Genomic DNA, 18,942 nt, shown 5'->3' on the forward strand with positions numbered 1-18,942 from the left:
AGGGGACATGAGAGCAGGTATAAATACATTTACAGATTACTTTTCCTAGAAGTTTATTGGTGAAGGTTAGGAGGGGAAAGCAGCACGGAAAGAAGCTTTACTTTTTCTTTTATCCTAGGGGATACTTATTAATGTTTGATGGATGAGGGAAAGGAGTCAGTGCCTAGGGAGAGGTGGATGGTGTGGGGAGTGTCATACTTAGAATTGCTGTCCCGGAGAATGGGAAGTAGGTCCCCTTTGTGTGCTGGTAAGGACCAGGAGCTGTGTTGAGGAGCCCACCCACCAGTAATGAAGCTGTCGGCATTGATATAAGACCCTACTGACCACTGGTAGAGGCAAAGGCATTTTTCCATGGTGGGTACTTACTTTTGTGCTCACCAGAAGGATAATAATGCATGAAGGTCGTACACTTTGTGAAAAATTCATCAAAATTAAAATTGGGGGGTGGTTTTAAGAAGTTAACCTAAATAAAAGCAAATGAGAAGTTTTCAGTTATTCTGAGAACTGTTTAATCCTTTGAAGTGTAATTTCTTAGCAGAAAGAGAGTATGCTTTTGACTGAACAGTGATTGGCACACTTAAACACCAAGACTATTTGATTTGTAAAATTGAAATTTTAAATTGAAAATCTAAAAAATCTTTCCAATTACAGTGTTCACTCACATCTCAATGTTTGGTATATGTACAGAGAGGGTCATTCCAAGGGGGACTAATCTTATACTTTTCTGCCCTTAGAACTTTTTCCTGCTTTTTTTCCTTCATAACATTTTAATTCAAATAAAACCTGGTTAAACTGCACACCATTTCTTCCTTATAAGTGTTAAAGGACGGGGGCTGATGGCCAAAAAGGAATTAGGAGCATCACCAGTCATAAGACATCAAGATCATGAGACACATGTGATGACACACTGAGGATGGCACGATCTCATTTTTGTGGTATTCTTGGTTAAAAAAAAAAAAAAGCATAAACTTGGTCCAATAAAGAGAAAACATCAGGCCTGTAATCCTAGCACTTTGGGAGGCTGAGGTGGGCAGATTGCTTGAGCTCAGGAGTTCGAGACCAGCCTGGGTAACAATGGTGAAATCCTGTCTCTACCAAAAATACAAAAAAAAAAAAAAATTAGCCAGGTGTAGTGGCACATGTCTGTGGTCCCAGTTACTCAGGAGGCTGTGGTGGGAGAATCGCTTGAGACTGGGAGTTAGAGGTTGAAGTGAGCTGAGATCATGCCACCTCACTCCCCACTGGGTGACAGAGTAAGATTCCATCTCAAAAAAAAATATATATATATGTATATATATATAGAGAGAGAGAGAGATATGTTGTTGGAGATGCAGAAGAGATGAGAGAAAGCATCAGGCAGTGCTAACCAGAGATGTGTGTGACAACATCGGCTGGCAACTCTCTTGTGTCACGGTCACTGCAAGACAACGGAACCACTGAAGTGCTGTTGCAGACTGCAGGAGACTACATCAAAAATATCAACAAGGCCGGGCGCCAGGGGCTCACGCCTGTAATCCCAGCACTTTGGGAGGCCGAGGCGGGCGGATCAGGAGGACAGGAGATCGAGACCATCCCGGCTAAAACGGTGAAACCCCGTCTCTACTAAAAATACAAAAAATTAGCCGGGCGTACTGGCGGGCGCCTGTAGTCCCAGCTACTTGGGAGGCTGAGGCAGGGGAATGGCGTAAACCCGGGAGGCGGAGCTTGCAGTGAGCCGAGATCGCGCCACTGCACTCCAAGCCTGGGGCGACAGAGAGAGACTCTGTCTCAAAAAAAAAAAAAAAAAAAAAAAAAAAATCAACAAAATGCAATGTGAGATCATGCATACAGTCCTGGAACATTCCACTAAGTGGACCACAGTGGGAAAACTGGTGACATTCAAATAAGGTCTTTAACTAGTGCATAGTATTGTACCAATGTTAATTTCCTGGTTTTGACTATTGCAGTCTTGTTATGAAAGATGTTAACATTAGGGGAAGGTAGGTGAGGGATATATGGAAACTCTGTATTATTTTTTCAACTTTTCTGTAAGTCTAACATGAATTCAAAGTTAAAACAATTTTTAAAGGTATCAAGAATGATTGAAGAGAGGCTGGGCGTGGTGGCTTACACCTATAATCCCAGCACTTTGGGAGGCTGAGGTGGGTGGATCACGAAGTCAGGAGTTCAAGACCAGCCTGGCCAAGATGGTGAAACCCCGTCTCTACTAAAAATACAAAAAATTAGCTGGGCGTGGTAGCGGGCACCTGTAATTCCAGCGACTCGGAAGGTTGAGGCAGGGAATTGCTTGAACCCGGGAGGCGGAGGTTGCAGTGAGCCGAGATCACGCCATTGCACTCTAGCCTGGTCAACAGAGCGAGACTCCGTTTTTTTTTTTTTAAAAAAAGAATGATTGAAGAGCATGGGAATGGGCTATTGCTATAAGCCAGCTAGGCCATGCAGGCTGGATATGTCTTGCTGGAAGAGTGAGGAGTGGGTGGTGGTGGTGAGGGTTGTAGGCTGATGCATGAGTGTGGGAGTGCCTCCTATCTTGACCAGCATCTGCACGGATTCTCTGTCTTTTCTTTCTTTCTGCCGCGTAGTCCCATTCCTTTGGCTCATCTAGCAGCACACCTTTCTTCCACTTTCATACCCTCAAAGCACAGCTTTTTTAATTGTCCATATCCCAGGGACAGTTCTGCTTATAGTCAATCTGCAACTTAACCACAATGTTTTCTACTAGGCAGAGCCACAGGAAGAGAAGTCTCTCTTCTATCACTGAACTTCGCCGCACTTGCTCAACTCCAACCTTTACCTTCAGTGATCCCTCATCCTGGGTTAGGAGGGTGTTGGGTAAAGAAAGTGAGGGTCAATGACAGCCTTTAAAACTATTCCCCTCTGCTCCTGGATGAACCGGCAGACCCTTCTGGTTCCTTAAGCAAGGTCGCTAGCCCCTCAAAAGGCCTCAATCCCCAAATTCCATATCCTCAGTTACCCATAAAGAAGCCTAATCATTTCCTCCTCAAGCTCACCAGCCTGGGCTCCTCCCAGAGGAGCTGCCCTGGACTAAAGCCTCTGTAGCCTAACCCAGACTGACCCCATCCCAATCTCCAGCCCAGGAGCTTTATGAAACCAGCGTGCCCAGTGACTCTTCTGGCAGGGGGCCTCTGTTACAGGCTGGCAGAACTTTCTGTAAGTAGCAGCATCACACCCACCTTAACTGCTCTCTGATCTGGAACACTCTCAATTTCAATCATGCTCCGGTCACAGAGCTGCCAGCAGTTTGGTGACAGAATAACATCATTCATCTGAGCCATGTTCTGGGCAAGGCGCACATCGTCCACTGCCTGACCAATCACCAGAAAGTGGCTGTGTGTTTCATCTCCAAAGACCAACATGCTGATGTGGCCAGCAGCCAGTCCTGGCAAGAAGGCAAGGAATAGGTTTGCACAAGAAGTTCTGGATTATTTCCCAGCAGCACAGGTTTTTGGAAAAACCATAATCTTGGTGGGACTATACTATCTCAGAGCAAAATCTCACTTCTAAAACTTTACATAGGAATTATGGCATACCTCTTTTGGGCTCGGGCCTTCCAAAGCTCCCCTTCTTCCAAAGCTAGAAAGTTCTACCACTAAATTTTGCCTGTCTGTAACATTATCTCACTACATGGTCCTACCAGTCCCCAAAGTTATTTTTACCTTTTCTTCAATTATGTATACTTAAGGGCAACAGGGAATACCTTTAATAATTCTTATTTTGGGAGAATTTGCATTTTAGCAGAGATTGAAGCTGTAACTAAAAATAATCCCTTAGGGTTGAATTTTAGACAACAAAGGGTGGGGGAAAGGAAGTATGCATTTGACAGTTACACATCCCATCCCAACAACCATTTCTCTCATTGCTTTTAAGTTGGTAAATGAAAGTTTTGGAACCTAAGTGACAGAAGAAGATATTGTATAATATGACATGTACACAAAATATATGTATAAATGAACTGTAAGTGACACACATTTCTTTCAAATGACTGTAATACAATCAATGTTTATTTTTTATCTTCGCTCTCTGCTATACTGATTTGTCAGGGCTGACTCCCCCCTGATTCTACATACAGTTTGTTTTCTATCTGAAACACACTGATGTTTGGACTTACTCTAAAAAAAGGTGCTGGGACCCACCTCACTAACAGCCAATCAGCATGCAAGAGGGGGCTGGGTTCCCATCATTCTCAAGAAGGATAACACATCAGACTCCTTGGGTACTAACTTAGAAAAAATATTCAGTATTATAATAACTTTGATTTTTTTTTCAACAAAATATTTAACTTATTTGGGCTTTTTTTTTTGAGATGGAGTTTCACGCTTGTTGCCCAGGCTGGAGTGCAATGGCGCCATCTCGGCTCACTGCAACCTCCGCCTCCTGGGTTCAAGCAATTCTCCTGCCTCAGCCTCCCAAGTAGCTGAGATTACAGGCACCCGCCATCACGCCTGGCTAATTTTTGTATTTTAGTAGAGACGGGGTTTCACCATGTTGGTCAGGCTGGTCTCAAACTCCTGACCTCAGGTGATCCACCCACCTTGGCCTCCCAAAGTGCTGGGATTACAGGTGTGAGCCACTGCACCTGGCCTTATTTGGAAATTTTTAACAACATCAAAAGCGGGCCTAGGTTAAAGAAGGCTGAGAAACAGTTAATTGTATAACTGCTGATGATCCTATCAGGTATGACATGTGAGAATTCTAAGTTTTGCAAAGTTTAGTTAGGCGGAAGCTAACACCAACAGCACCAACCATAACTCTGTTACTCATTACTTATACCTCTCAGAATCTCATTTTTCATCTATGAAATGGATACAATGATGCCTGTATCTCAGGACTGTCATATAGTGTGCGTAATGTTTGCACGTGCATAGTGTGTAATGTCTGCAATGTAATAAGGAAATATGTGTGACTATTACTATATTATATGTATAACTTTAAGAAGCCTTGTGTAAAGCTGGAGCTGTGTTGCAGGCTGACCTGTTAAGCTTTTCCTACACCTCATTCTTATGAGGTAGGGGGTGACCAGTCTCATGTCGTTGCTGAAACTATGTAATGGCAAGCTAGTCTCTATTTTGTTTTATACTGCACAACCTTGACAAGCAGCAAGATGGAATAATAATAACAGCAGTAGCAGTCATAAAGACTATTTTATTGGGTGGTTCCTATGCATTAACTACCATACCAACTAATTTACTTTTTGTAATAGCTTATTAGGTAGATATTATGATTAACCCAAATTCTCTCAACTGGTATGTGAGGAAGCCAAAATTCACATTCTGATTGTCCTGATGCCAAAGTTCAGGGCATCATGGGGCTGAGCCACCATGTTCTACTACTTCTCTTTGGGAGAGAGAGATGCCCCAGGAGTCAAGACCCTATCCCAGCTGCCGTAGGATTTATTCCTTCTCAAATGCTTACCTATCTTGACTCGGATGTCTAGGCCTTCTTCCCACTCCTGGGTCTCAAACAATCCATGGATCTCCAGGCTACATTTAATTACCACTGTGATAATGTTTTTCAGCTGCTTTCGCTCCACCCTCCACAGGGCTAGCAGTGCATCACCTTCAGAGAGAGACATGCCGCGGGCTTTTGACCTGCCCTGGGGATCAATCTATTTTGTATGAGATCTGTATAGAAACTTACTCATCAAGCATTCCTCAGCCTATCTCCTGGCCACTCCCTTCTCTAGGATGCCTCCTTTGTCCCCAACACAGAAGCACAGGCACCTCAGCACTCCTTTCTTACCCCTTCTATCTTAGTAAGCCCCCATACCTGCAAATTTCAGGATGTCTCCTCCAAAAATCAACACTTCTGAGAAAAAAAAAAAAAATTAAATCAAACCCTGATTCCTTAAAGGTAGTAAAAAAACATCATTCTTTCTTAGTGGAATAGAAACTAGGTCAAAAGAACAGTGATTCAGAGAATAGGCTTATACTAAAGATCTCATCCCAGACAAGCCACTTAACCCATTTGAGTCTGTTTCCTCAAGTGGAGAATGAGTACGTGGAACCAGTTTACATCTATGCTCCATTTCTGTGAATGGGGAAAGACAGGAGAAAGGCAGCTAGGGTTTCTGATGAGGTCTGAAGACAGCTGCCCTCCTCCCACGATAATGGAATGCTTTTAATTAATTTATTGATCAATATATGTTATAGGCTGGGGCTTGTGTAAGCATGGGTGGGTGGATGAATGACAGGACTCCACAAAAACTAGGAGTCAGGGAATGGGAAAATCACAACCATAGTCACTTGCATTTTTGGTTATTACCAACTTTGTATTTTGTTTATTTAGACGGTATGGCATAAATGGCCATTCTCTCTTTTAGTTACGCATCATCATGGATTGGTTAAGCACCTGTTGTGCCAAGTCAGATGCAGAAAGGAATCAACCATAGTTCCTGCTTTTATGAAGCATTAAATTTTGTCTAGTGGGTAACATCAAGATATTACTAAGGAACTCAGAGTCTGATAAAACACTAGGCCAGGAGTTCACCATAACAGAGTAAACCGTTGTCTTCATGAATAGTTTGAATTAACAATGCAAACAAGATGGCAGGCAGAGGTTGACAAGGGGACTAAAGTTTTCAGTTCACTCTAAGTGCTTCAGCATCCATCATTAGGAGACAAATTATTGAGAAGCTAATTATAAATCATTTATCTACTCATACAACAATCTCTTAATGACTATCTTTGGGTTTTATAGATGCTGGCTTTTAAAAATACTTGGATAGGCCAGGCATGGTGGCTTACGCCTATAATCCCAGCACTTTGGGAGGCTGAGGTGGGAGGATCACCTGAGGTCAGGAGTTAGAGACCAGCCTGGCCAACATGGTAAAACCCTATCTCTACTGAAAAAAATACAAAATTGCTGGGCATGGTGGCGCACGCCTGTAACCCCAGCTACGTGTGTGGCTGAGGCAGGAGAATCGCTTGAACCTGGGAGGCAGAGGCTGCAGTGAGCTGAGATCGTGCCACTGCACTCCAGCCTGGGAGACAGAGTGAGACTCTGACTCAAAAAAAAAAATTAATAAATAAAAATAGCCGGGCACCCTGGCTCTCACCTGTAATCCCAGCACTTTGGGGGGCTGAGGCAGGTGGATCACTTGAGGTCAGGAGTTTGAGACCAGCCTGGCCAACATGGTGAGACCCCATCTCTACTAAAAATACAACAATTAGACAGGTGTGGGGGCGGGCGCCTGTAATCCTAGCTACTCGGGAGGCTGAGACATGAGAATTGCTTGAACCCAGGAGGCGAAGGTTGCAGTGAGCCAAGATTGTGCCACTGCACTCCAGCCTGGGCGACAGAGCAAGACTCTGTCTCTAAATAAATAAATAAAAATAAATATAAATACTTGGATATATAACTAAAAGTATTACTACTACAGTTCTTTTAAAAGCAGTGTATAATTCAGCCCTCTAACACAAAACATCCCTTCCCTCAAATAGTCTGTATTAGTGAGGTTTGATTATATTTATTTCTTCAGTTATACTATATCATATTTCAAAAAAGACTGGTTTTATACACATTTCATGGGGAAGAGGAGGAGTGCTAAGCAATTGTACTCTATCAGGTTATAATTGACAACTACGGAAAAAACAATGAATTGAAATATTCTCAAGCCAGAAACCTATGGGAACACTTACTCTCCACTATTGCACTTATGTGGTAGTTGAGGATCTCCACCAACTGCTCAGCCCCTCTGTCCATGTACATGGCACTGCTGAACTTCTCAGTCATTGCAGTAAAACCTGGAATAAATGTGCAGCTGGTTTCCTTGGCTGCTTGGGGGAATCAAACAGAGCCAGAAGAGGACTACCCTGGAAGGCAGCGGGCCTCAGCTTTTTTTTTTTTTTTTTTTTTTTGAGACAGAGTCTTGCTTTGTAGCCCAGGCTGGAGGGCAATGGTGTGATCTCAGCTCACTGCAACCTCCGCCTCCCGGGTTCAAGCAATTCTCCTGCCTCAGCCTTCCGAGCAGCTGGGACTATAAGCGTGCGCCACCATGCCAGGCTCGTTTTTGTATTTTTAGTACAGATGGGGTTTCACCATGTTAGCCAGGATGGTCTCGAACTCCTGACCTTGTGATCCGCCCTCCTCGGCCTCCAAAAGTGTTGGGATTGCAGGCGTGAGCCACCGAACCCGGTGGCCTCAGCTTTTAAAAACAGGCAGAGTTTCTTCTTAAGGATCTTTGTGGCTGGTCAAGTGTCAGACATGCAGCCTCCTCTAGCTATTATTTTAGGGGTCAGGAAAAGGCTCCAGATATTTCTTTCTTCCAAATTCTCAACTGTACAGTGATAACTGCAACTTCTTTAACTGGGAATAAAATTTTCATTCCGTGGTAACAAAAACACACACATTTCAAACACTTCTGAAGAGGTGGCAAGTTTATTAGTAAGATGTAAACATCATCTAGGGAGATCATTTCCTGAGGTCAATTTTGACTGGGATGTGTATGGGGCTTGGGGCTGGAGAGGATGAGTCAGTGAAGTTGGGGCAGAGATACTGGAGCAAAGAATGGGACTTGAGCATGTTAAAGATATGCCTATGACTGGCAGTCCTGAGTAAGGGAGGATGAGAGAGAGCCAGGGCCACAAGCTATTTCCTCCCTCTTGTGTTCTCAGTGGAGCACATCTGCTGTGACAGCCCAAGGGCTCCAGAATGGCCTCCCTACTCTGCAATCAAGCTCTGCATGTGAATTCCCACGCGAGCCTGTTGCTCATCCACATTAAACAAACATCCCTTTTGCACTTGCCTGAAATATCAACAAACATCAGGACTCCGTCAAAATAATCCATAAAGGGTCGCTCTGGGGAGAAATGTCCATAGACAATGAGGTCTGGTAAATGAGCTGCTATTCTGACTATGGGCCAGTCCTGGAATTCTTCTTTTGGAGTGTTCATGTTCAAGACAAATGTTCAGGATTTTATGGTGACAGGAAGCAGTCTCCAAATAGGTCTTCTAAAAAGAAAATTGAAATAGAGGAAATCTGATATATTCATTTGCTCATTTTCCTATTGCTCTTTCTCCATTTGTTTTGTTCTAACCTGCGGCCTGCTTATAGTGGTGAAAATGCCAGAGTTGTTGAGCCACACTTCAAAAGGGCCAATTTCTATACAGAGGAAGAACCCTCCCACCCTGAACAGCTGTTGCATAAGTGAGCTCCATTACAAAGAGGCTGGGGTGAAAGAGGGTAGCTGAACGGCTCAACTCATTTGCAGGAAGGGGTAGGCCCTCGCAGGGCAAGTCCAGTTGTAGTGGGCTGTTAAGCTCTATTCACTCAGGCCAGACTTCTTTTTCTTCTGTCCTCATGTTTCCTTTTACCCTCTCTCTACCTTGGTCTTTTACTTTTTTCTCTCTTTAAAAAAAAAAAAAGTGTAGATGTGATTCGTGTGTGTGAGTGTATTTATATGTAAGTGAGTATTAGAGTTTTGTATATAGGCAAGAGATTAAGACTATAAAGGTATAATGTTAAATAAATGGAAGAAAAGAGTTCAGAAATGTGTGTGTGTGTGTGTGTGTGTGGCAGCTGGAAAGATGGAAGACCTTAAGCTGTAAATGGAAGGAAATGCTGAAATTTCAATTTGTTGCCCAGTTAGTTCTGAGAAAACTAGGATTTCCTAAGGCCTTCCTGTAGCTGCTGGGGCAGATTAAATGCTCATGCCTAAATGTTGTAAAAATCATGCTCTACCAGCCTGAACAGTAAAAGCAAACACCCTTTACTTTTTCAGAGCAATCCAAGTTACTGGAATAGGTTATACAGAAAATATAAGAGGATTTGTTTTTTTAAGAAAAGGAACTGTTATTTTTGGTTTAATTCTGACCAGCAGAGAGGAACTTGTTAGTAGGTCATATTGGGATATATTAGAGTATTAGAGGAAAAAATTGAGACAGTCGCTTATATCCCTTAGATTTAAGGGGAAGTATTTAAAAAATAACTCAGGGAAAAATATTTGTACATTTAACAGACAAACTTTAAAATGTATATAGTATACATTTAAAAATGTATTTAGTATTCTAAAAAATGAGTGCTAAATGTTACATATTGGATAACCTTTAAAAGGAAAAGTCCTGGCAAACTCAAATGTTAAGAAGTGAACAAAAGAAAGAAACATATAACTAAGGTTTAAAAAAAAAAAGGGTAGCATTAAAAATGCAGCAAAAGACCACAGCATGTGCCAGGAACAGTCAATAGATAAAATTAAATCAAATAAATAACTTCAGATAGTAAATTTGGTGCTATATGAACTTTTAAGAAGGGTGTGAGATGCTAGATGCAGTGGTTTGTGCCTATAATCCCAGCACTTTGGGAGGCCTACACAGGAGTATTGCTTGAGCCCGAGTTCGAGACCAGCTTGGGCAACATAGTGAAATCCCATCTCTACAAAAAAAAAAAAAAAAAATTGCTGGGTGTGGTGGCATGCACCTGTAGTCCCAGCTATTCAGGAGGCTGAGGTGGGAGGATGGCTTGAGCCCAGGAGGTCAAGGCTGCAAGGAGCTGAGATCGTGTCACTGCACTCTATCCTAGGTGACAGAGTGAGACTCCATCTCTAAAATAATAATAATGATAATAAAAAGAAAGGTACAAGAAAATTGAATGTCGAGAATGAAAGACTTACAAAAAATGCTAAAGTTAAGAAAACCTAGAGGGATTTTTAAAGGCTTTGTTGAAAACAAGGTAATTAATAAAAGAGGAATAAGGATGAAGCTTAAGTATGGTGTACCATACACCTTTTCTTTTGTTTCTACCTTCTCCACCATGGAGGATTGAAAAGTATAACAAGCATTGCTAAGAAAGAATTGAAATCCAAGATAAGTAGTGCTAAAGCACACAGTCATTTTAAATAAATTCTAGCTAGTCCCAGACAACATATATCTACAGATACTGAAAGAACTGACAGGTGTAATGTCAGTAATCTCAAAAAACCATGGAGAACAAGAGATGGGCTGGAATACCATAGATGGGCACATTCTCTTTTGAATTTCAAAAGATGAGGCTACTCATGGATCCCAGAAAACACAGACCAGTAAACATAATGTATTTGTTGAGATAATACAGGTTATGTTTCATTATCAAATAACTTTGAAATCTCAATGGCTTGAAATAACAAAGGCTTATTTCTTGTTCATTTCTTGCTCACACTACATGTCCCTTGTGGGTTGTATGGGGTTCTCCTCTGTTTTTGCCTTCACTTTGGGACCCAAACTGGAATATTCTGGTTGTCAAGGTAGTGGGAAAGAGGATGTAGTGGAGTATACTCATTCTACTCCCAGAAGTGACGTATTTCACTTTTACTCATGGCATTGACCAAAGCAAATTACATGACCATGCCTAGTTTCAAGTAGACAGGGAAGTGCACTCCTACCATGTGCACAATAGGAAAGAGAGTTGGAATATTTGGGAGCAGCCTCAATGGTTATTTAGATTAGCAAGAGGTGATTAAAAGGAGTCAAATGGATTCAGAGCCAAGAGCAAGCCAACATTATTTCCTATTTTGGAAGAGTTATTAAACTTTTAAATCAAGAGACTGCTATAGACAATGTATATATTGACTTTAAGGCATTTGGCCAAATTTCTCATATCCTTGTGAGTAAAATATACAAAATTATAGGAATAAAGAAAATATAATTGGCTGGTTAGCAATCACACCTAATGGAAATTGATTAGTATTCTGGTGTCAACTCAGAGGTAAGCCTCCATGGGCACGATAGAAGACTTTGATAAAGATATAATTGAAAGTACGGCCATTATGGAAAATAATATGCAGGTTCCTAAAAAATTAAAAATAGAACTACCATATGATCTAACAATCCCACATCTGGGTATATACCCAAAGGAATTGAAATCAGTATCCCTGCACTCCCATGTTTATTTCAGCACTATTCACAATAGCCAAGATATGGAACCAACCTAATTGTTCATCAACATATGAATGGATAAAGAAAACATTGGATAATGTATACAATGGAGTACTATTCAGCCGTAAAACAGAAGGAAATTCTTTCTTGTATGATAGTGTGGATGAACCTGGAGGGCCTTATGTTAAGTGAAATAAGCCGGCCACAGAAAGACAAAAATATTGAACGATCTCACTTATATATGGAATCTAAAAAAGTCAAAATCATAGAAGCAGAGTAGAATGGTGATGCCTGAGGCTGGGGTTGGGTGGGTGGAATGAGATGTTGGTGGCTGAAGGATACAAAGTTTCAATTAGACCCAATGAAAAAGTCCTGGAGATCTAACCTAGAGCAAGGTGAATACAGTTAATAAAGTATTATATACTTCAAAATGGCTAAGAGAGTAGATCTTAACTGTTCTCACCACACAAAAATGTTAAGTATGTGAGATGATACGTTAATTACCTTGATTTAATTATTTCATAATGTATACATATATTAAAACATCACATTGTACACCATAAATATGTACACTTTTTGTCATTTTTGCCTTAATAAAGCTGAGGGAAAATAAAATTTGAAAATATAGTGAGAGAACTAATGCACTGATGACAGAGCTAGGATTTTAATACATCTTAATCAACCAAAATAATGAAATTTCAAAAGAATAAGTGCAAAGTGCTGTGTTTAGAGTTTTTAACAAAATCAAATGCATAAGCACGAGGTGCTAAAAAACTAGATTTACTGCAAATTAGTGCTATCTTTTAAAAAACTTTTATTGAAGCATAACATACATGTAGGAAAATGTACAAATCATAAGTGTATAGCTTGAATTACTCTAAGGTGAGCAAATCCGTGTAATACCCATTCATAGCAAGAAGGAAAACATTACCAGCTTTCCAGAAGTTTTTCTCATGCCACCTTCAAGTCACTACCCTTCTCTTTTCCCTGAAGGTAACCTTTCTTATTTCTAACAACATAGATCACCTTTGCCAGTTTTCAAACTTTATATAAATGAAATCATACTACATATTTTGTGTTTGTGATATTCATCCATGTTGTTGTATATCAATAATTGTTCATTTTCAATGCTATATAGTATTCCATCACCTGATGGAATATACCACAAAACATTTATCCACTATACTATTGACCTGTGGGTTGTTCCCACTTTTAGACCATTATGAATAATGGTGCTAAGAACATTCTTATTCATGTGTTTTGGTGAAAAGATGTATGCATTTCTCCTGGGTATATACACAGGAGTGGAATTGCTGGGTCATAGGGTATACACATGTTAAACTTTAGTACAGGCTTGTCCAAGCTATGTCCTGTGGGCCACATGCGGTCCAGGATGGCTTTGAATGCAGCCCAACACAAATTTGTAAACTTTCTTAAAACATTATGAGATTTTTTTGTGATTTTTTTTTCTTAGCTCATCAGCTATCATTATTGTTAGTATTATTTTATGTGTGGCCCAAGATGATTCTTCCTCTTCCAATTGTGCCCCAGGGAAGCCGAAAGATTGGATACCCCTGCTTGAGTAGATCTTGCTAAACAGCTTTCCAAAGTGATGGTACCAACTTACACTCCCTCAGGCAAGGTATGACAGTTCAGTTGCTACATATCTCAGCCAACACTTATTTTGTCAGGCTTTTCAACTTTTAGTCATCTTGCTAGGTAAGTGGTGGTGAGGAGACAGGCCATTTCTCTTACTGTCTCTTGTCTCTGAAGAGAAAGAGGAAGTAAAAGCTGAAAAACACAGGAATGAAGTCAGTGGCAAGACCAGCCGGCGCCACTGATGACCAGGTCTGAGGTTAAAAGATTAACCCCCATTCTAACCACATGTGCTATCTACAGATCTCAATCTATTATGACCCTTTCACGTGGAACCCCTCACAGCTCTAAGCCCTTAAAAGGGCCAGGAACTGTTTCTTTGGGGACCTCAGTTCTTGAGATGCAAGTCTGCCAATGCTCCCAGCCGAATAAAGCCTCTTCCTTCTTTAACCCGGGTGTCTAAGGGGTTTTGTCTGTGGCTCGTCCTGCTACAATGGTATCTGTGGTTTTGTGTTTCCTTGTTGGTACTAAGGAGATTAAGCACCTTTTCATATGTTAACTAGCTATTTGGATGCAATGCAATTTTAAGATACATAAAAGTGTTCAAATCTAATCCAGAGGACTGAAGTTCATTGACCTCTTTAAAATTCATTGACTCTGGAATGTGAGGAATGATGGCAGAGACTGGAAATAAGTCAGAAAATTATGACATTTTGGTTAAAATTGTAGTTGTCTTCAAATATTTGGGCTGAACTGTGAAAGTTGTGGGGTAAGTGGTGGACGTGGGCTAAGTGGGGGACATGGGTGTGTATGCAAGGTGTAATGTGGGACCCTGCAATCAAAGAACAACTTCCCTACCTTCTCCTTGAGGTAGAAATTTGGTTTGGGTTAGCAAGATTAAAGTTCATGGGAAGTATGCAGTGGGAAAGGAAAGTTGGTGTGTTTTTCTTCAGTGGAGGGAGCTAGTTATCAAAGAATAAGTGACTGTAAACAGTATGTTCCGTAGGCATGGGTGCTCTGAAGTGGCTTCCACAGATGTGCTGAGTAGCCAGAGAACTAAGATAGGACTGAGCAGAACTGAGCAGGGCGTAGCTCTATTCTTCCCTCTCCTGCCCCCAGTTCACTGGCTCAACTTTGACTTCTTTAGCTACCAAGCTTGTAAGATTGAAAGACTGAGCTAATGAAAACAGAGGATGCTCAGTTAAATCTGAATTTTAAATAAACAATTTTTTAGTATAAATATATTCCAAACATTGCATTCTTTCTAGCAGCCCTACTATCAGCCCCTTCAATCTTGGCAATACCACACTCTCCTCACATGCATAGTATAGACTGTTTTGCTAAAGTTGTTAACACTGGATGGAAAGTGGGTTAGGTTTATTCTTTGTTGCTCAGGATCAACTAGGATCAATGACTGGCAATCACCGAAGGACAAATATAAACAATGTAAGAATGAGTGTTCAAACTGGGCAGTTTTAGGAAGTGTTGAATAGCTATCTACCTGTGAGGGTAGAGGTATAAAAAGTAAAGTAGAGGTTCCTCTTCAAAGACTTTCCTCCCCGTCTAATTAGGAATAAATAGTAACTTATCTTAAAAGCAAAATTTATTCAAAGACCTGTGCTAACATTCTTAAATATCTGCTAGCCATAATAAAGAAATCAATGTACTTTATGTTCTTGGCTCCCACAATGTAGCCTAAATATTTGCCCTGGCATGCTTATACTGGTCCAAGCAACCATTAGGTCATAGCCTGTTCCTCTTCCTTATTTAAAAGTATTTTTACTTTTCTCAGCATTCCACAAGTTACTTCCTCCTTCTTTTGTTCTCCTCTACCTTTGCCTCTTTTAAAAGTTCTAAGTTGCTAGCCGATCGGGACAAATACAGAATGTGAGGTCCTGTTCCGGCCAATGGGCAGTAGGGTGAACGTGTCAGGTTATAAATGACCCCGTCTCCTTTGTTCAGTGTACTCTCGTGGCAAAACTGCTGGCGAGTATACCCTCTCTGCAGGAAGTAAAAATGCCCTTACTAAATAAATTTATGTTCAAGTGCTATTTCTTTATGGCATTGGAGAACAAGCGTTTCAAACAGAGGTGATTTTAGTCAGTGTAGAGATGAATTAGATGATTGTTAAGATTCTATTGTTTTAATTAAGGTGATGTGAATGAACTTGGACAGATTTTTCTGTTTATGATGACCAAACAAGGAAAGTACATGCATTTTGAGATTAAGATGGCATATGTAGATGTGAAACTAAAAGAAGAAAATGATAGGTTTAAAAGGCAGGGAGATCTAAAATAAATATCTGGGAGTTTCTTATGAACACCCATAAAAGACAATAGAAATTTTCTATTTTTGAAGATATAGTTTTCTGCTTTAAGTTCTGCAACATCACAAAATGATTAGTGATAGCTGTATTTACCTTTCTACAGGCACATACCACATTGTAATTATAATTTATTATGACCTTTTTATGTGAAGCATTCTATTGTAGGAGTTATTAAGAAATTATTTTAGGCAGATAGAGAGGAAAAGGGGTCCTTGGGAAATTTTCATTTTTTAAAGCATCTCCAGAAAATTTCTTGTAAAGCCTTGGCTCTTAGAGCCAGGCCGGCAACCTTTGATAAGCAAATGAAGGCCATTAGAAACAGGGCCCACCCAACATGGCGATTCCGGAGGCCTTCTTTCCCTTGCCCCACATGTTCCTGGCAACATGGCCACCTCCACATACTCCCACGTGTGTAGAACATCATGGCACCCTGCATTTGCATATTAAAAGGCTAGGGTGAGAGGGCTAGCTTTTTCAAGGGCTTTGTGAATGACATGCCTGGTCAAACCAATCCCCTGAACCCTATGCAAATCAGACACTGCCTCCTCCAGCGTCTGTAATATATACCTAGCTGACGTCCACCCCACTGGGGGTTCCCTCTCTCGGCTTTGGAGCCCCCCTCCCTCTGTCTCTGTATGGGGGAGCTTCTTCCCTCTTTCCTCTTCCTTCTTGCCTATTAAACTCTCCGATCCTTAAAATCACTCCACATGTGTCTGTGTCGTTTTATCTAAACCGGGATGAGGACTAAGAACCTTGGTGTTCCTCCACTCATCGGAGCCGTATCAATTCTACATAGGTTGCCTCATTTAATCATCCAAACAGCGCTATGAAGTAGACCTGATTTCTATAGATATGAAAACTGAAGCACAGAGGTATTAACTTGCTCTGGGTTATAAAGCTGGAATATCCAGGTCTGTGGGACTTGAAAGTCCCTGTTGTTTCTACTATATCATGCTATATCCCATTTGTATACGCTTTATAGCACTTTGGGGATGTATATGACCTAGACAAAAGATGTAGGTTTAATTTAAGAGCACTTTCAATGCATGTTGATGGTACCCTTATCAACTGTTCAGCCAATTCTATCACATCAAGAATACAGCATGAACAGCATGGGTACTGACAAAGCGCGGAAGCACCTTGGAATGAGAAATGAGGATACCTGAGTCAAAAGGCAAGCAGGCGAATGAGGCCCGAAAGATAAACCAAGAAGGATTCCTGAATGCGGAGTGTGAGTAAAGAAAACTCAGTAGTACCCAAAAATGAAAAGAGAAATTAGGGTTCGATTATATTCATCAGTTTCTCTAAATCTCTCCTCTAGAATTTCCTAATAGATTTTATATTCAACTTTTCACCTACATGTAAAGTCAGGTTTCACGAGTCCAAAGAGGGAGATACTCTGAACTTAAAGGCACAGTGTTACCTGTCATGAAAGCTTGCTTGCCTACTCTAGCCATGGTAATTTTTCTTCTGAGCTATTGTGGCTCTTAATGTCTACACTTAAGTGGCTTATTTCCCATACAAATATCCTTGATTATCTTTTGAATTGCTTCTATTTTGTCTTCATCTGAATTGTAAGCTCCCCGTTTGGAACCATCTTCTACATATCTTTGTTTACTCCACAGCACCTTGCCAGAGCCCCCTTCAAGAGGTAGGCACTTGGTAGTTGTTGACTGATAAAAAGGAGGATATCACGTGAGAAACTGCAGAAAAGAGGCAAATAAAGAAAGTAAGCTAGAAAGACAGAGCATCCAGGTTGAGAAGGTGAGGCAATATTTAAGCCTTCAAGCTTCTAAGCTCATGTAAGGGACTGACACAGAGGTATACACAAACTTGAACCCTGACTTCTAGCCCCAGGCTTCCCACTCCTCTGCAATAGCTGTCTTCTTTCCTGACGGTCGCCCTCATCTTCAGCTCTGCAATCAATCTTTCTGCTGAGACTCTTACTTCCACATACCTCCACTTCATCCAGGGCTGAGGAAAAGCCAGACCTCAGTTAGGGACTAGGTCTTTTAAGACTGCAGAAGACAGGAGAGGAGGCCGGGTGACATTATTCTGAAGACAGCTGAAGCGCCATGTCTGTCTATAGCTGACCCATAAAATGACAGTTTTGTCTAAAAGCCGTTTTCCAGGCCACACCCTCATCAGTAGCTCATTGTTCCACGGGCACCGACCATGTTTCTGATTGGGTGGCACTGCCGTCCCCTCCCCCACCAACCTGAGTGGCCTACTACTGTACAAGGAAGGACTGGCTGTTTCAGGTTCTCTTATCCGCACATTTGAGGCAAGGGTCAGGGGAGACTGACATGACCCCAGAGTAGTTTACACAATTCTTCCCTTGGCCATGTGGAGGATGGTTGAAATTAGGCAATAGTTGGTAGGTGATCATCAGAAGTATCTCCAGAGCAAGCAAACACCTAATTTTAGTCAATAGTGGTTACAGCTTGTACCAGGACTATGAAATTTACCAGTTATAATAAATTCAATACTTACCTTCAGATATATTTGTGAGGTAAATTTTTGTTTGAAGAATTATATACCTGCCCTTTCTGACTGGTCAAGTGCACGCTTTTAATCAAATTTATCCCAAAGATAACTTGAAATCCAATGGGCACTGGATTTGAGTTTTCTTTATCTGATGTGACACTGGAAAAATGTATTTTAAGAGGCTGGTGTGTTTTCTAACAGCTTAAATCATGTGTTGATTTTCTAAATGTTCTTATGTATATCATCACAACCACAATTATCATTTAGGGGCACAGCTTTTAAAATTGGAATTTAAAAAGTCTTATTTAAAAAGCTGTACATGTTCTCCTATAAAGCCCCGCTCTGTAATTGTTTACTGTGTACTTCCAAATGTTGTAAAACACAGTTGTCTTAGGGAGGAAAACAAGAGGGTCATTTAATTATGTTCATTGAGTGAATTTTCTGGTGTGAGTTGTGGAAACCAGTCTTATAATTAGAATCATACCTCATTTAATTAAACAATCCCCTTAGGGAGAGCTATTCTTAATAAATGCCAGTGTTTTCTATTTCTGCTTCATTATATAAACAGGCTCCAGTAGAGACCTTTGTTTTACAGAAAGGAACCTTAGCTTTGAGGTCCATCCTCATTAACATTCAACCTTTCGCTATGATTTTATAAGTTAAAA

The 18,942-nt window shown here is 40.9% G+C and overlaps 2 protein-coding genes across 12 annotated transcripts in view, besides 2 other annotated features; one reads left to right on the forward strand and one right to left on the reverse strand.

The window, feature by feature from the left end:
* Window positions 1–17,906, reverse strand: part of ADCY10 (adenylate cyclase 10) — a 104,749-nt gene extending 86,843 nt beyond the window's left edge. For 7 of the 11 annotated variants that reach the window (XM_011509763.4, XM_006711449.5, NM_018417.6 and 4 more), the window contains exons 1-7: window positions 17,748–17,906; window positions 8,765–8,970; window positions 7,659–7,763; window positions 5,788–5,826; window positions 5,434–5,577; window positions 3,195–3,400; window positions 367–463 (exon numbers count right to left, since the gene is read on the reverse strand). In XM_011509763.4, coding sequence (XP_011508065.1) covers window positions 367–463; window positions 3,195–3,400; window positions 5,434–5,577; window positions 5,788–5,826; window positions 7,659–7,763; window positions 8,765–8,912 — 739 coding nt within the window. In that variant the 5' untranslated portion in view covers window positions 8,913–8,970; window positions 17,748–17,906. Of the gene's footprint in view, window positions 1–366; window positions 464–3,194; window positions 3,401–5,433; window positions 5,615–5,787; window positions 5,827–7,658; window positions 7,764–8,764; window positions 8,971–13,495; window positions 13,636–17,747 lie in introns of all 11 variants that reach the window. The other 4 variants (XM_011509760.4, NM_001297772.2, XM_011509762.4 and 1 more) reach the window with 4 other exon arrangements.
* Window positions 1–18,942, forward strand: part of DCAF6 (DDB1 and CUL4 associated factor 6) — a 212,261-nt gene that overhangs the window by 32,653 nt on the left and 160,666 nt on the right. The window lies entirely within an intron of this gene.
* Window positions 16,934–17,610: an enhancer, noted in NCBI's record as "H3K27ac-H3K4me1 hESC enhancer chr1:167882400-167883076 (GRCh37/hg19 assembly coordinates)". NCBI's record gives its function as "activates a minimal SCP1, AML or CMV promoter by ChIP-STARR-seq in primed H9 embryonic stem cells {active_cell/tissue: H9 hESC(primed)}" and the evidence as "EXISTENCE:reporter gene assay evidence [ECO:0000049][PMID:30033119]".
* Window positions 17,611–18,287: an enhancer, noted in NCBI's record as "H3K27ac-H3K4me1 hESC enhancer chr1:167883077-167883753 (GRCh37/hg19 assembly coordinates)". NCBI's record gives its function as "activates a minimal SCP1, AML or CMV promoter by ChIP-STARR-seq in primed H9 embryonic stem cells {active_cell/tissue: H9 hESC(primed)}" and the evidence as "EXISTENCE:reporter gene assay evidence [ECO:0000049][PMID:30033119]".

This window comes from Homo sapiens, chromosome 1 (genome assembly GCF_000001405.40).
Source record: "Homo sapiens chromosome 1, GRCh38.p14 Primary Assembly".
Classification (NCBI taxonomy): Eukaryota; Metazoa; Chordata; class Mammalia; order Primates; family Hominidae; genus Homo; species Homo sapiens.